Raw genomic sequence first — 15,573 nt, forward strand, 5'->3', positions numbered from 1 at the left:
GGATTGATTTATTGGCTCAGCCTCGTAGAACACGACTTGGCTCACTGTCAGCTCGTAGTGACTCTGAAGCAACAATTTCTAGAAGTAGTGCCTCTTCGAGGACCGCAGAAGCCATCATTAGAAGTGGAGCCAGACTAGTACCATCAGATAAATTTTCTCCTAGAATTAGAGCTAACAGTATCTCTCGACTCTCAGACTCCAAGGTTAAAAGTATGACCTCAGCTCATGGCTCTGCTTCAGGTAAATTGGATCCAGATTTCTAATAGCATTAGCATGTTGTATATTTGGGGGCTCCTTTTTTTTTTTTGAAAAAAAGGTAAGGTTCTAGTTGTCTTCCCAAGATACTCATTCAAAACAAAAGTTATGATATATGGGGCAGTGGCGGGGGTGGGGGGAGGTCTATAAAACAGTTTTATTTAGCATAGTAAATGGAAAATCAGAAGTTATATATACTTCCAATTAGAGTCCTGGCGCAAAATAGTGATTTCAAAATTAGGAATTCATTGAGCTGATTTAGGAGTTTTAATTTTCCAGTTGGTGATATATTTGGATGTGTGTGTCAAAATTAAATTATCTGGAATTATCTGGTTTAAAGTATAGGAATTAACATTGTGCTTCTAAAAGCATGTGTTTAACCTTTAAATATCCTCACATAATTCAAAGCCCTTAAGAACTTGAAGAAAAGCAGTGTATGCTTTATTACTCTTTCAGAGTTAAATGAAATAATCAATGTTTTGTTCTTTTTTTCCCCTACCCATTTTGAAATGTCTCACATACTTTACCTATACTTTTTAAAGTTAAATCTGTTTATAGTTGGAGCAGGTGAAAACTAACCTTAATTTATTTCAGTGGAAGAAGATGGATTCATGGGGAATCACTCAGCATATATTGGCCAAACTGGGCTGTAGAAATTTAACTGGTTATGAGCATTATATCACAAAGTGCTGTTATATCATTTAACTCTAGTAATTAGGTGTAATTGAATATAATAACTACAAAAACTACTTACTTTCCACCAGAATTTAACTGATGCTGTTATATTTGTTTGCTTATGTGCTTTGTATTCAGAGCTGAAGCCATTGAGATACATGTGTGACCAAAGAGTGATGAGGTGGATATTTCTTTGTGTCCTATATGCATGTTCTCATTACTTCATAATGAGCCTCATATGTGGGCGTGGCTGCAAAGGCCAGTGTGGGAGGCCAGCTGTTACAACAGACTTGAAGATGTGTGATTATTTTCAGTAGGCAGACATCTAAGTAAGCCCTAAGTCTTGAGTTAAGAGTGGAGGGGAATTGATATGAAATTTCATCTTTTTATTTTTGATTGGTTTACATCTACCACACCATATCCTACAAGACCCTAAAGGAACAGTACTTTGCATATGATACTTTTTTCACTTTTCTTCCTCTTTTCACTGCTGCTTTCCTCCACTCCATTCACCTGTATCTCTTTGCTGGTCAGTGGGTTTGGTAATGATGGTCACTGTCTATGGTAGAAATGGACGTAGGGTGAAGCCAGATAACATATAATCATGATTCCAAAAAAAAATAGACAACATTTTCCTTATTACCCCAGTCCTCATTTCCACACTTGAAGCTTTGGTTGGTGGTTCACAAATTTATTGCCAAATATTTTAAAACTAACTACTACATTTTGGTTTATTTTCATTCTGTTTTTGGTTATGGCTATACTTCTTCAATTCACATTTCATCTGTGCTGCATTTCCTGATGAAATTTCTTCTGCTGTACTCCTTGTTTTATCACCTCATCTCCATTAAGATATGTATGTATTTTCCTGTCTTAACATAATTTCTATGTTACCAGGTAGCTTGGAGTACCTCTTAACACATGATGTGGTTTTATTCCTCGATATTTAGGATAAGGCTTGAGATGCAAGCTAAATATGATTACTTCAGCAAGTCTAAGAAACAACTGTAAGATGCTATATATAAAGACAGATTTCATTTTCTGCTTCTTTGAATACAGAACTTGATAAATATTCAGTTTTCTGTGTCCAAAAATAACCTTGAATTGTGTATGAAATTCCCTAGGACACATTGATGTATATGATTTTAGTCTTTTCGTACTTACTAGCAGTATATTAAATAATTAGAATCATGGAATTTAAAAGTTAGAAGGATTATTCCCTTAAGGGAACCAAGGCCAAGAGAGGAAATAACCTGCCCTGGGCACATGGCAGTGGCAGGGGCAGAATAAGAATCAAAGACTTTTAATCCCCAGCCTGTTGTTTTTCTACCGTATCTATTCTAGCTCTAAGAAATAGTTTCAGTGTTTACTTGTATGCAAGCTTCCAGAAGACAGCTAGAATCTACTGGATTATTATCAGGAGTATATGCAAGGTCAATATACAATATAAAGGTTTTGGTATTGTTTACTAAAATCTTTGCAGTTCTGATGTTTTACCCAGTTTATATTCTCTATTCCACCTTATGAGTGTAAAGCCACATTGTAATCTAGGATTGTATATTCAGATTCTCTCAAGATACCCACTTATAGTATTAGATCTTCTCTAGGACAGTGGCCAGGATCTTTCCTTCAGTGAGAACATACTATAATAGCTGTATGGAAAAGGTGGTCAAACAAACAAACAAACAAACCTACCTGTTTGATTTTGCTAATTTAGGTGCCTTTGATATTATAATATTTCTGTTTAAGATAATTATAATATTTTGAATGGAAAAAGAAAAGAAAAATTTTAACTTTTGAAACATGATTTAAAAGAATGTTAAATCATGCCGATCAGTGTTGCTGTGCACAGTATAAACTTTAAAGACCTTGGAAATAATCTGAACCTAGCACTTGTGATATTGTCCCAATTGGATATGTAAAAATAATTCCATAATGTTTCCAATTCCATATTTTAGATGATGTCTCTAAAATATTTTTAGGCCAGCACAGTGTTTCATGCCTGTAATCCCAGTATTTTAGGGGAGGCCAAAGTTGGAGGATTACTTGAGCCCAGGAGTTCAAGGTGCAGTGAGCTGTGATCACACTACTGCATTCTAGCCTCGGACAAGTGAGACCCTGTCTCCATTAAAAAAAAGTTTTTTTTAAAGAAATGTATGTGATAAAAATAGAAGATTGGAAATCTCAGATTTAGCAATATGAAGAGAAGAGTTCTGTATGTTTCTCTGATGTAATTTGCAATTTGCTTCTAGGAGTTTAACTAGTTTTTTTTCCCCAAAACATTCTTTCAATGCTTCTTTTTTTTTTTTTTTTTTTTTGAGTCGGAATCTTGCTCTTGTTGCCCAGGCTGGAGTGTAATGGCACAATCTCGGCTTACTGCAACCTCTGCCTCCTGGATTCAAGTGATTCTCCTGCCTCAGCCTCCCAAGTAGCTGGGATTACAGGTGTGTGCCACCATGCCCGCCTAATTTTTGTATTTTTAGTAGAGGAGAGGCTTCACCATATTGGGCAGGCTGGTCTGTCCTCCCGTGTCAGCCTCCCAGAGTGCTGGCATTACAGGCATGAGCCACTGCGCCCAGTCTCCTTCAGTGATTCTTGATATCAAGTTGTAACTGAAATATCCAGATTTATTTTGGCAAGATATATTTAAATTTAAAGACCTTGAATTATCAAAATAAAGCACTTGGTTTTCATTATGTTTTAAGTGCACGTTTTAGAAAATAAAAACATTATGTTAATATCCTTAGAATTTTTTTGGACTGTTTGCAGTCCCTTTTTAATTCTAATCTTCAAAATTTATAGGCAGTAGAAATTAAATGTTAGACATGCATGGCTTGAATTAACTCTTTCTCCAGGTCAAAGGACAAAACAGAGCATTGTCAGCAGTTTTTCTCCCCAACTGATCTTATTGCTGAATGCTCATAAATATACATTCAAAACATGTTTGTGGTAATTTTCCACTAAAATATTCTGATATTGTATGAAGATGCAATGTGTGTTTTCTGAAGCGTGTTTGCAAAATCTATAGTTGTATGTTTTAATGCCAACAAAGAAATTGGAACATTCACAGAAATATGATACTAACAACTCTTTTTTTCCTTTTTAAGTCTCTAGACATCATAAATGATAGTATATTTTTGTAGTGAATATAGTAGTTTAGTACTACAACACAAGAGGGAATGTTGCCTATTTTATAATTAAAAAATAAATTTTGTAATGAATGCTGTAGCTCTAGCTACAAGCTTAATCAAGCCCATCTTGGAACTTTCATTTTAATATATATGCTGTCTAGGCCTTTACTAACGAATAAGTCTCTTAGAGATAGGCATTTCAAACACCTTCAAATGCCTTAGTAATATCAACCCATCAAATGAGCCTAATAATATATTAAGAAAATCAAATTTATTTTTATAAACTGTTACTTAAGCTGAATAAAATTCAAGAGAAAGAAATAAAATTTTTCTTCAACACAGGTAGAAATCAGAAAAACTATCATTACTTGAGAAATTTAGGATGTCTTTTTAAAACAACTTGGCCGGGCACGGCAGCTCATGCCTATAATCCTAGGACTTTGGGAGGCTGAGGCAGATGGTTTACCTGAGGTCAGGAGTTCGAGATCAGCCTGGCCAACATGGTGAAACTCCATCTCTACTAAAAATACAAAAATTAGCCAGACATGGTGGCAGGTGCCTGTAATTCCAGCTACTCTGGAGGCTGAGGCAGGAGAATTGCTTGAACCTGGGAGGTGGAGGTTGCAGTGAGCCAAGATGGCGCCATTGCCCTCCAGCCTGGGTGACAGAGGGAGACTCCATCTCAAAAAAGAAACACACACACACACACAAAAAAAACCTTACTGGAAACAAAAATGTAGAATGTATACAACACTTGGAATATCAGAGAATTCGTTTTGAACTCTGGGAGTCCATAGACCTGGCTTATACTTTGATTTTAGCAAGGTAAGACCTCTCTGGGCCTGTTTCTTCTCTTTAAATGGAAGAATTTAGACTCATGTCAAAGGCCATTCTTCTAAAATTTTATGAAATAAGTAGATGGGGGAAAATTTAAAATATTTTAACTTGAAGTTTATTTGGTGTTAATTAGCAGGTGATAGGGAATTTTCTTTAGAAAAAAAAGGTTAGGTAGCTGCTACAGTTTGGAAGCAAATGTTAAGAAAGCAAAAAGTTTTGAAATAAATTCTTTGAGAAATAACAGGTTAGAGGGCCTAGCATTGAACTCCCTTTCCCAGTCCCTTCTCCACCAGTAGCCATCATTTCACTCAGTCTCAGCTCTGCTCTTTGTCGTTACACAGACTGTGTCCAGAGTTAACTGGAGCTTTTCTTCATAGCATCCCATGTGTGATATGTTTTCCACTGGCAAAGGGAGCTCTTAATTACTTAATGATTTTTAATCACATTTTTATTTCTCTGCTGTATGCTGATTATCCAGTTTCCTCCTCAATTTTAAAGAGCGTACCTAAAGATGTTACCTTTTACTTTTTAAAATATGCTGTATTCGTTTGATTTTTTTTCTTTTTGTTTTATTTTTGTTTTTGAGACGGAGTCTGGCTCTGTCACCAGGCCACAGTGCAGTGGTGCGATCTCAGCTCACTGCACCCTCCGACTCCAGGGTTCACGTGATTCTCCTGCCTTAGCCTCCCGAGTAGCTGGGATTACAGGCGCGCACTACCACGCCTGGCTAATTTTTGTATTTTTAGTAGAGTGGGGTTTCACCATGTTGGCCAGGAGGGTCCCGATCTCTTGACCTTGTGATCCGCCCACCTCAGCCTCCCAAAGTGCTGGGATTACAGGCGTTAGTTAGCCACTGCGCCTGGCCCCTGATTGCTTTTAAAATATATTATTAGTAGCTTTACTATGCTTACTGACTTCTAGGTAGACCAGCCTATGAAAAGAGATGGAAAGTTTGTGAAAAGGAAGTTTTTCTCGTACTTTTTTCCTCAAAGTGTAATTGCATTTTGATCCTAAGCTCAGACTATTAAAAGTTGATTCTAGCATGGCTCTACTTACATGTGATCACCTGACATTTAACGTATATTAATAGCACTTGGTACTCAATTTCTCATTCTGCTTTCATGTAGTCTGCCACGAAATATATCAGCCATCGATGCCATTCTTTCTAAGTTACCTCAAAATTAACTGTCTTAGTTTTATCATACTTACATTTTCATATGTTCTGCAGTTATTAAAGCTCTTTGTTAATTGCTTTTCTTTTCTCTCTAGTTTCCAATCATATGTATAGTGACCATAGTTGCCTAATCAAAAATCAGGACATTTGATATAACAAATGATTTTTTTCTTATTTATGAACACTATTGTAAGATAGCACAATAAACACACATTTAGCATTTAATGAAATGTTTTTTTGAAAAGTACAAATTTGTTTACACTATTTCTTATTTTGCCTGCTGTATTTCTTAAGTTTTTTCTAAACCTCTTTACTCTTGTTCTAAACTTTTCCCAAAATTGGTTTCAAGTCTCAGGATCACTTCAACTCACGGAAGTTTTTATATCTAGAAATGAGTACATTATCACCATGGTAAAAGTATTATCTATGTTAATAAATTATCTTACAGTGTTAAAATCAGAAATTATATTTAAGCTCCTCAAAAAAGGTCTATGACTAATTACCTAGTATATGCATTTGCATACACTTTTACAGAGAGCCATGAACTTTCTGCATATGTTCATTCTGTCATACCTATGAATGAATCTAGTTCCAAACATCAGGATCTGCAAATAGGGGTGTGAATAAGGACGAATCGATAGGCTCTAATTTATGGCATATTCCTCATTGTAGAGTTCTCTGTTTCTTAAGCCAGTTCTGGTGGCAATATATGCCAGTTTTATCTGAGAGCAACCTCAGCCTTAGAGATCCCCAGATGAAAATGTAGTTTTTGGAGGAAAAGACATAAAAGGCATAAAATTAGAGTGGAGGAATTTCTGGATTCTGTGCAGCTTAGGGTCAGTTTCTATTAAAAAGGAAGAAGATGCTAAGGTTTTATCACTTTAAACACCAATAACATTTAATGCTTTTCACTAGGTTTCGGAAAAGTAAATGTTTACATCCGGGAATTCTTACATTTTTTTCAAAAATATTTGTTAAACATTTGCTAGCCAACACTCAGCTAAGTGCTAGGTATACATTATTGGATTAAACAGACATGGTTCCTGCCCTTGTTCAGTTTACCAGGAATTAGCCATTATCTTTCTTTTTTACCTCTATTTATGCTTCACAAATTATTTGCATGTTTGATTCTCATATTAACAGTAGTAAAGTGTCTGCCTTGTCTTCTGATTTTTTAAATGTGTGAGCAATACCATTTTTTTAATGTCTTTACTAACTGTAAATAAGAAAGTGATTGCCACTTTCTTTAATGTGACTCTTCACAGTATCTCCTGTGCCTTCAATGTCAATGGTTGTGACAAAAGCTTGTACAGTTTTGCTTTTTGTAGATTTTATGCCATTGTCTATTTTCACCATATGCTTTCAGTGTCAAAGCAGCAGAGAGTTGTACTGAAGATGCTTTGTTGTGTTTTTTTACCACGTAAAAAGATTTTTTCCAACCATAGCGTAACAGGATGTTGAATGACAGAGGTAATGTTTTTTTTTCTGCCATAAAGGCGTAATTTCCACAGCCAGAATTATGCACATCTGTATGTTGGGAAAAGAGAGTTTTTACCATCTCCATGTTGAAAGTCCATGTGGCATGAGGAAATCTTTTCCCTTGTTTTTATTTTTGTTGTCGTTGATGTTGTTACTTTTTTTTTGAAAAATTCATATTTTCACTCAAATAAGAAATATTTGCAATTGAAAAGTACTCCAGTTAAACATCGATGGATAGAACTTGCTTAGTCGTTTATGATTAGTGAAATTTTTCATCTGAATGTTTACTCACCACACTATGGAAAACATGGTCTTTCGATTGTTTTTGATTCTTCATTGTTTTTAATTCACCGAAGTGTAATGTTTCTATCTCTAAAGAGTAGTAGACTTATGGTTTTTGTGAGGTATGTGTACGTCAGTTATTGAAAATTGTGCTGTGTGTGCGCTCTCATGGTGTTTTGAAGTCATGACTTTTATTTTACCTCCTTTAAATGATAACATAATAATTTTTTTTAATAATTAAACTAATTTAGTAAATTCAAGATGGAGGCGCTTTCCTACTGGTTATGCTTCCACCTCAGAAGATGAATTTGGATCAGACCATAATTCCCCTAAACATACCCGTCTATGTACTTCTCCAGCCCTGAAAACCACTCGCTTGCAGAGCGCTGGATCAGCAATGCCTACTAGTTCTTCATTCAAACACCGGATTAAAGAGCAGGAAGACTACATCCGAGATTGGACTGCTCATCGAGAAGAGATAGCCAGGTTGGTTTTCAGGACTTATCTTTAAGAATTGAAAATTTCTATGAACATTACAACTTGGTAACAAAGTTTAGCTTGTACTTGATTTTTACTAATAGTCTAAGAACTGAAATCCACAGATAACTGTGAACTCCGTTTAGTCAGTAGTATTACTCTCTATTCAGCTTTTTTTCTTTTTTTTCTATGCCTGTACCACTAACATATTGTAGAATTAATTTATTTTGACCTTTTCTCTCTCCCCCCTCCTCCCTTTTTAAGAATTTCTTTTAAAGATGGTGATAAGTAAGTGTAACTTTGAAAGGTAGGCAGTATCAGATCTACATAATTAAGAACTGCAGGCAATTTATGGATTACTTCCCTTTAAACTTCCAAAGATGTAATAGTATACCTGTTAGAGATGTGGCTACTGCTCTCTGGAGAGAATTAGGGTAAGCAGATTTTCACTCATACTTTATGAACTCATTAAGTATGGGCAGTTCAACCCTTTAGTAAGTAAAACAAAATATGACTATTTTGAAGATTAAATCTGTTTATAGTAACCTTTAGATTATGTACAAAAAAAATTTATGCTGCAGATATGATTTTTAATTAATAACTTATGGAAATTAATAACTTACTATGGCTGAACTTTGAAGAGAGATTATACTCAAGCAGATATTTTAGTAGTTAAAATATAAGGATTTTTTGTTTAAAGTTTGTGAGATGTTAGATTTTACTGCAGTATACCATATGTTACCTAAACATTTTCACTGTATACATACTAAGCTTACTTCTGTCTTTAAGACCTTAATCTTCAAGTTGTATACTTGAGGACATTATTAAAGAGTTTATACATAATATTTCATAGATGCTTTTAAAAAACAAGAAACTTTTACTCTATGTTAATGTTCACCTTTTTTGTTCTTTATTTCATTGACTTCTGTGAATTGTGTTTTTTCTGGCTCATTGGTTTGATGTAATGTTTAGTTTTTTATTTTTAAAGATTATTCACTTGTCATTGCTTTTATTCTTGGAGAGAACATGCCTTTCTAATCTCATTGTGCTGCTTAAAACATTTTTGCTTTATCATACAAATAGCTTTTTAGGAGAGTAATTACTGAAGCATTTTAAGCCAGTTGTTCTAGTTAGAGGAAAGGCATATATGTGCTTTGGGATCCATGGATCATAATGGGCCAACAAAATGCTTGTAGTGAGAGCATCTTGACACATTTTTTGTACTTCCAGGCGCTGCTAGCAACAACAGGTCTTACTCTTGTCTCATCATTTTTCCCCTTCCCTTGAAAAAGGTGTCCAGCTACACAAGATCCAGTGGTGCCTGTATGTCTAGATGCCTCCTGGCAGGAGGCCTCCTCTCTCAAGCTCCCTCTACCCCAAACTAGAAAGACTAAAAACCTTCTTCTGAGCCAAATACACTTCCCTACCCACAAATAAAAAAACAGTTGTAATACAAAGAGAAGAGGGAATAAGGGCTATACACTGTATTTTCACTTGGTTCCATTTTGCTATGTGCATAGTGTTACTATTATCAATGTGTACGTTTTATTATCTATGGCAGGACTTTAAGAACAGGCTATTTAACCTACAGTGATGTTCATGCCTTATCCCTCCAGTTTGTCAGTAGCACTATGCTAATAAAACTTGCCTTTGGGATTTTAATTTTTCAAGTTATACTTTCCAGCTATATATCTCAAAGCCAGAGAAGTGTTTTTTTTGTTTGTTTTATGTGGAGAAAAAAGGAGGGTGGTGGAAGGAAGGAAAGACACAAAATATGGAAGGAAATGTGGATATTTAATGTTTCTATAGAGCAGTGATAAGTTTGCTTAGGGTGAGAAAATGTATTTTCAAATGGCTATGAATCACAAACTAAGTAGAATATGAGAAATAATTTTATTTATTTAAATGAACTACTGTCACCTAAAAGACTCCTGTGCTGAGAGCAATATTTGAAGAGTAAAGACACTTTTATTTGAAAAATATAATAGTGATTTTTAATTTATTACAAAAATGTTTTATGCTTTAGCATACTCTTTCTGTTTAGAATTTAGGACTATTTCACTTGATCAGCACTTTGTTAATCTGTACATAGTAACTGTTTACCTGCATTTAAATTTAAAGCACAAAAGCAAGCTCCATTTAGAATATGAAGTGTATAAGCGAGATATGGCATATTTGGCCTTCAGTTTGATGAGGGAAGGTTTCTTTCAGGTATCCCTGATGCATATGCTTTCGTAGCTCCTGCCTCAGTTTCTCTGTTATGAAAACAGATATTGACTTCCATCGAGTAGGAATGTAAGACATGATGCAGGTTTTTATGAATATTAGGGTAAACAGAGCTACAATACCAGCTTTACAGATGACCAAATGAAATACATTCAACCTAAAAATTATACTGGAAGATTATCTACAGTAACACCTCTAAGATAGTACAGGTTTGGTTTCAGACCGCTATAGTAAGGCAAATATCTCAAAGCAAGTCACACAATTTTTTTTTCCTAGTGCATGTAAAAATTATGTTCACACTATACTGTATGCAGTAACACTGCTTCTTAAAAAAAGTATATACCTAAACAAGTAAACATTTTATTGCTAAAAAACAGTAGTGATCATCTGAGCCTTCAGTAAGTCATCAGCTTTTTGTTGGCATAGGGTCTTACATCCCTGCTGATGACTGCGGACTTATTCAAGGGCAGTGGTTGCTGAAGGCTGGGATGACTGTGGCGATTTCTTAATTAAAAGAAGACAACAGTGAAGTCTGCCACGTTGATTGACTCTTCCTTTCATGGAAGATTTCCTTGTAGCAATGTGATGCTGTTTGATAGCATTTTACCCAGAGTAGAACTTCTTTCAAAACTGCAGTCAGTCCTCCCAGACCCTGCCGCTGGCTTATCGACTGAGTTTATGTAATATTCTGAATCCTTTGTTGTCATCTCAACAGTGCTCACAACAGCTTCACCAGTAGATTCTATTGCAAGATACCACTTTCTTTTCCCATCCATAAGAAGCAACTTCTCATCTGTTAATGTTTTACCACGAGATTGCAGCAATCCAGTCCCATATTCAGGCTCCACTTCTAACTCTAGTCTTTCTAGTTCTGTTTCTGTTTCCACCATATCTGCAGTGACTTCCTCCACTGAAGTCTTGAACCCTCAAAGTCATCCATGAGGGTTGGAATCAGTTTCTTCCAAACTCCTGTTAATCTTGATATTTTTACCTCCTCCATGAATCACAGATGTCCTTAATGGCATGTAGAATGGTGAATCCTTTCCAAAAGATTTTCAGTTTACTTTGTCCAGATCTATTAGAGGAATCATTACCTATGACAGCTATGTCTTGCAAAATGTATTTCTTAAATAAAGGAATACATTTTCTGCTTAGAAGACAAAATGGGCCAGGCACGGTGGCTCACGCCTGTAATCCCAGCACTTTGGGAGGCCGAGGCAGGCAGATCACGAGGTCAGGAGATAGAGACCATCCTGGCTAACACGGTGAAACCCCGTCTCTACTAGAAATAGAAAAAATTAGCTGGGCATGGTGGTACGTGCCTGTAGTCCCAGCTACTCGGGAGGCTGAGGCAGGAGAATTGTTTGAATCCGGGAGGCAGAGGTTGCAGTGAGCCGAGATTGTGCCACTGCACTCCAGCCTGGGCGACAGAGCAAGACTCTATCTCAAAAAAAAAAAAAAAAAAAAAATGGCTGGGCGCAGTGGCTCACGTCTGGAATCCCAGCACTTTGGGAGGTTGAGGCGGGTGGATCACGAGGTCAGGAGATTGAGACGATCTTGGCTAACATGGTGAAACCCCATCTCTACTAAAAATACAAAAAATTAGCTGGGCGTGGTGGCGGGCGCCTGTAGTCTCAGCTGCTCTGGAGGCTGAGGCAAGAGAATGGCGTGAACCCAGGAGGCGGAGCTTGCAGTGACCCGAGATGGCGTCACTGCACTCCAGCCTGGGCGACAGAGCAAGACTCCGTCTCAAAAAAAAAAAAAGTCAAAATGGCTCCTTGATCCATGGGCTGCAGAATGGATGTTAGCAGGTATGAAAGCAACATTAATCACCGTGTACATCTCCATCAGAGCTCTTAGGTAACCAGGTACATTGTCCATGAGCAGTAATATTTTGCAAATAATCATGTTTTTCTGAGCAGTACGTCTCTACAGTGGTCTTAAAATATTTAGTAAACCACACTGTAAATATGCCATAATCCAGGCTTTATTGTTCCATTTGTAGAGCACAAGCAGAGTAGATTTAGCATAATTCTTAAGGGCCCTATGACTTTTGGAATGGAAAATGAGCATTGGCTTCCAACATAAAGTCACCAGCTACATTAACCCCTAACAAGAGAGTCAGCCTGTCCTTTGAAGCTTTGAAGCTGGGCATTGCCTTCTCTCTGGCTGTGAAAGTCCTAGATGGCATCTTCTTCCAATAAAAGGCTGTTTTATCAACATTGAAAATCAGTTGTTCTTATAACCACCTTAATCAATTATCTTAGCTAGATCTTCTGGATAACTTGCTACAGCTTCTATATCAGCACTTGCTGCTTCTCTGTGCACTTTCATGTTAGGGGGATGGTTTCGTTCCTTAAGTCTCATGGACCAACCTCTGCAAACTTTTCTTCTGCAGTTTCCTCACCTCTGTCAGCATTCACAGAATTGAAGAGAGTTCAGATTTTGCTCTGGATTAGTTTGGCTTAAGGGAATGTTGTGGCTGGTTTGATCTTCTATCCAGACCACTCAGACCTTGTCCATATCAGCATTAGGCTGTTTTGCTTTCTTATCATTCCTGTGTTCACTAGAGTAGCACTTTTAATTTACTTCAAGAACTTTTCCTTTGCATTCACAACTTGGCTGTATGGCACAAGAGGCCTAGCTTTTGATGATTGCCAGAATAGTAAGACAGAATTTAAAATGGTTCCATGGTTGATCAGATGGGAGATTGGTGGGAGTAGGGAACACAAAAGGCATGGGAAAAGAAGATAGGTTGTATTTTGGTCATAATGACACCAACATGCCTAAAGGATAGCCCTGTGAAAAAAGCTAGCAGACAGTTGAACTGCGGCTGTGAAACAGTAAGCCGTGAGGGCTAGACTCATCGTTGTAGAGTCATTCGTAAAGAGTAAATACTTGGAGCTATTGTAGTAGATGGTATCACCAGGGAATGGTGAGGGAGCTGCAAATGCGGCTGAACTCTGAGATAACCTCAGTGACAGGGATGTGGTGTAGCTGAATGGTGAAGAATATGGACTCTGGACTCAGACCATATTCTTGGTCTGAGATTCAAACCCAACTCGACCACAAGGTCTGTGTGACCTAGGATGAGTTAATTAAATGTGTTCTAGTGATCTCATCTGTAAAATGGACGTAATGGTGCCAACCTGAGAGAGTTGACAAGTTGATGCACATACTTAACCTAGTGCTTGACATATAGTCAGTAGTCAATAAATGTTATATTTAAGAGGGATACAGAGAAAACAGTGGTTTATGATTATAGTTAGAACTTTATTTGGAGCTTTTAATTTTGTGTAGATCTCACACGTTTAAATTTATGAGAATCCAGATATAATTGGAATTTCAGAATCAGCATTACATTCTACAGTTTATAAAATTCTGGGCTTACCTCATTTGTGCTTAAGAATCCCAGCCAATGCTTTGTTCAAATTTCCATCCAAACTTATTTATTAAAAAATGTTTTGTCCTCCTAGTAAAAACAGTGGTATATAAGTAGTTTGTTTTTTTAATATTAAAGTGATCGTTAAATAGCCGTGTCAGCTGGGCGGGGTGGCTCACGCCTGTAATCCCAGCACTTGGGAGGCCAAGGCAGGCGGATCACCTGAGGTCAGGAGTTGGAGACCAGCCTGGGCAACATGGTGAAACCCCGTCTCTACTAAAAATACAAAAATTAGCCGGGTGTGATGGCAGGCACCTGTAATCCCAGCTACTCGGATGGCTGAGGCAGGAGAATCGTTGAAACTCGGGAAGCGGAGGTTGCAGTGAGCCGAGATCGCGCCACTGCACTCCAGCCAGGGTGACAGAGCGAGATTCTGTCTAAAAAATAGATGTATCACGGAACACCTATCAGTCCCATTCCCTGATTTGTTGGCCCCAAATGAAACTCACTTGGCATTGTAAGACAAAAAGCTTTTATTATTACTAAGTCTTTTACACATAATTTTATTAGTGAAATTCAAGTAAAAAGAATACTGATCAAATATATTTGAAAACATTTTAAAATAGAACTGTGGTTTATGTTTTTCAAAGCCTAAAATATGTACAGTTAAAGTTATGAATGAGTGATAATCTTAACAGTAAAAAACCAAATTACTTGTAATTTTACTACATTATTAAAAGCTTTGTGCTTTTATTGTTTTGTTGGTAGGAACCAATTTAATTTAGTTGTCAGAATTCAATGGTGTGGGTTTTCTTATTTTCTGTAAGGTAATATAATGCTTTTCTGTGTATTGCAATTTAGCTAACAAGTCTTCAATTACAACATAATTGAAGGATATACTACATTTTGGGTTGTGATTGGAGGTGAGCTTTGATAATACCAAAATGTTTTTTGTTTTGGAGAAAATATTATGGATATAAAAACTACCCTAATCAAGGAATAAGGCATATCTGCCAAGTCAGTTTGAAGACATCATTTGTGGATTGATAATATCTCAAGTCTAGGCCCTGTTATTTTGTTGGGCTAGGTCAGATCCAAACAGCAAGAGTAGGGAAATAAACCACCTGCCCACAGGTTCAGATGACAGTGATTCTTCAGTTTCTCTGTAGTTTTCCACATTTCCTAGAACTTCATTATTCCTTCCTCATAGTCTGTACCTAAGTCTCTAAAAATACTCTGGCTATCTCAGGTCTTGTTTATTGAGTAAATACTTTGCTGTCAGATGACATCAGACCATCTTTTAACTTGCCGATTTTGTCTCTGGTGGAGATAGCATGGGCTTGCTAAAACCTTTAAAGTTATCCTCTTAATTACATCTTTATTTGTGACTTCCTCTGCTTATTTGAAGCATATTCATAAGTCTAGTTTCGAGACTAGAATCTTTCTACATTTTACCAAATGTAACTTATCTGTAGCGATAAACATTTCATTCCCAATAATGGGAGGTGCCTTTAAAAAAATTAAATCTCGATCTCTTTTGATGGCTAGAAGTAGACTCCATGTACTTTATTCAAACTGCTTTTCTAATCAGGCCACTCATTAAATTGCTGTTGCTGCCCAAAAGAAACCTCCAATTTCAACTCATTATTATCCCA

At 36.6% G+C, this 15,573-nt stretch overlaps 1 pseudogene across 1 annotated transcript in view, besides 1 other annotated feature; it reads left to right on the forward strand.

Annotated features, from left to right (window-relative positions):
• Positions 1,158 to 1,279: a silencer, noted in NCBI's record as "fragment chr4:119437439-119437560 (GRCh37/hg19 assembly coordinates)". NCBI's record gives its function as "represses an EF-1alpha promoter that drives an FKBP-Casp9 reporter gene in an ReSE screen in phorbol 12-myristate 13-acetate-treated (for megakaryocytic differentiation) K562 erythroleukemia cells {active_cell/tissue: K562(+PMA)}" and the evidence as "EXISTENCE:reporter gene assay evidence [ECO:0000049][PMID:32094911]".
• Positions 1,199 to 15,573, forward strand: part of CEP170P1 (centrosomal protein 170 pseudogene 1) — a 37,880-nt pseudogene continuing 23,505 nt past the window's right edge. The window contains exons 1-2 of the transcript NR_003135.3: positions 1,199 to 1,259; positions 8,193 to 8,319. The product of NR_003135.3 is annotated as a centrosomal protein 170 pseudogene 1 (transcript). The remainder of the gene's footprint in view (positions 1,260 to 8,192; positions 8,320 to 15,573) is intronic.

Source organism: Homo sapiens, chromosome 4 (assembly GCF_000001405.40).
Source record: "Homo sapiens chromosome 4, GRCh38.p14 Primary Assembly".
In the NCBI taxonomy this organism is placed as follows: Eukaryota; Metazoa; Chordata; class Mammalia; order Primates; family Hominidae; genus Homo; species Homo sapiens.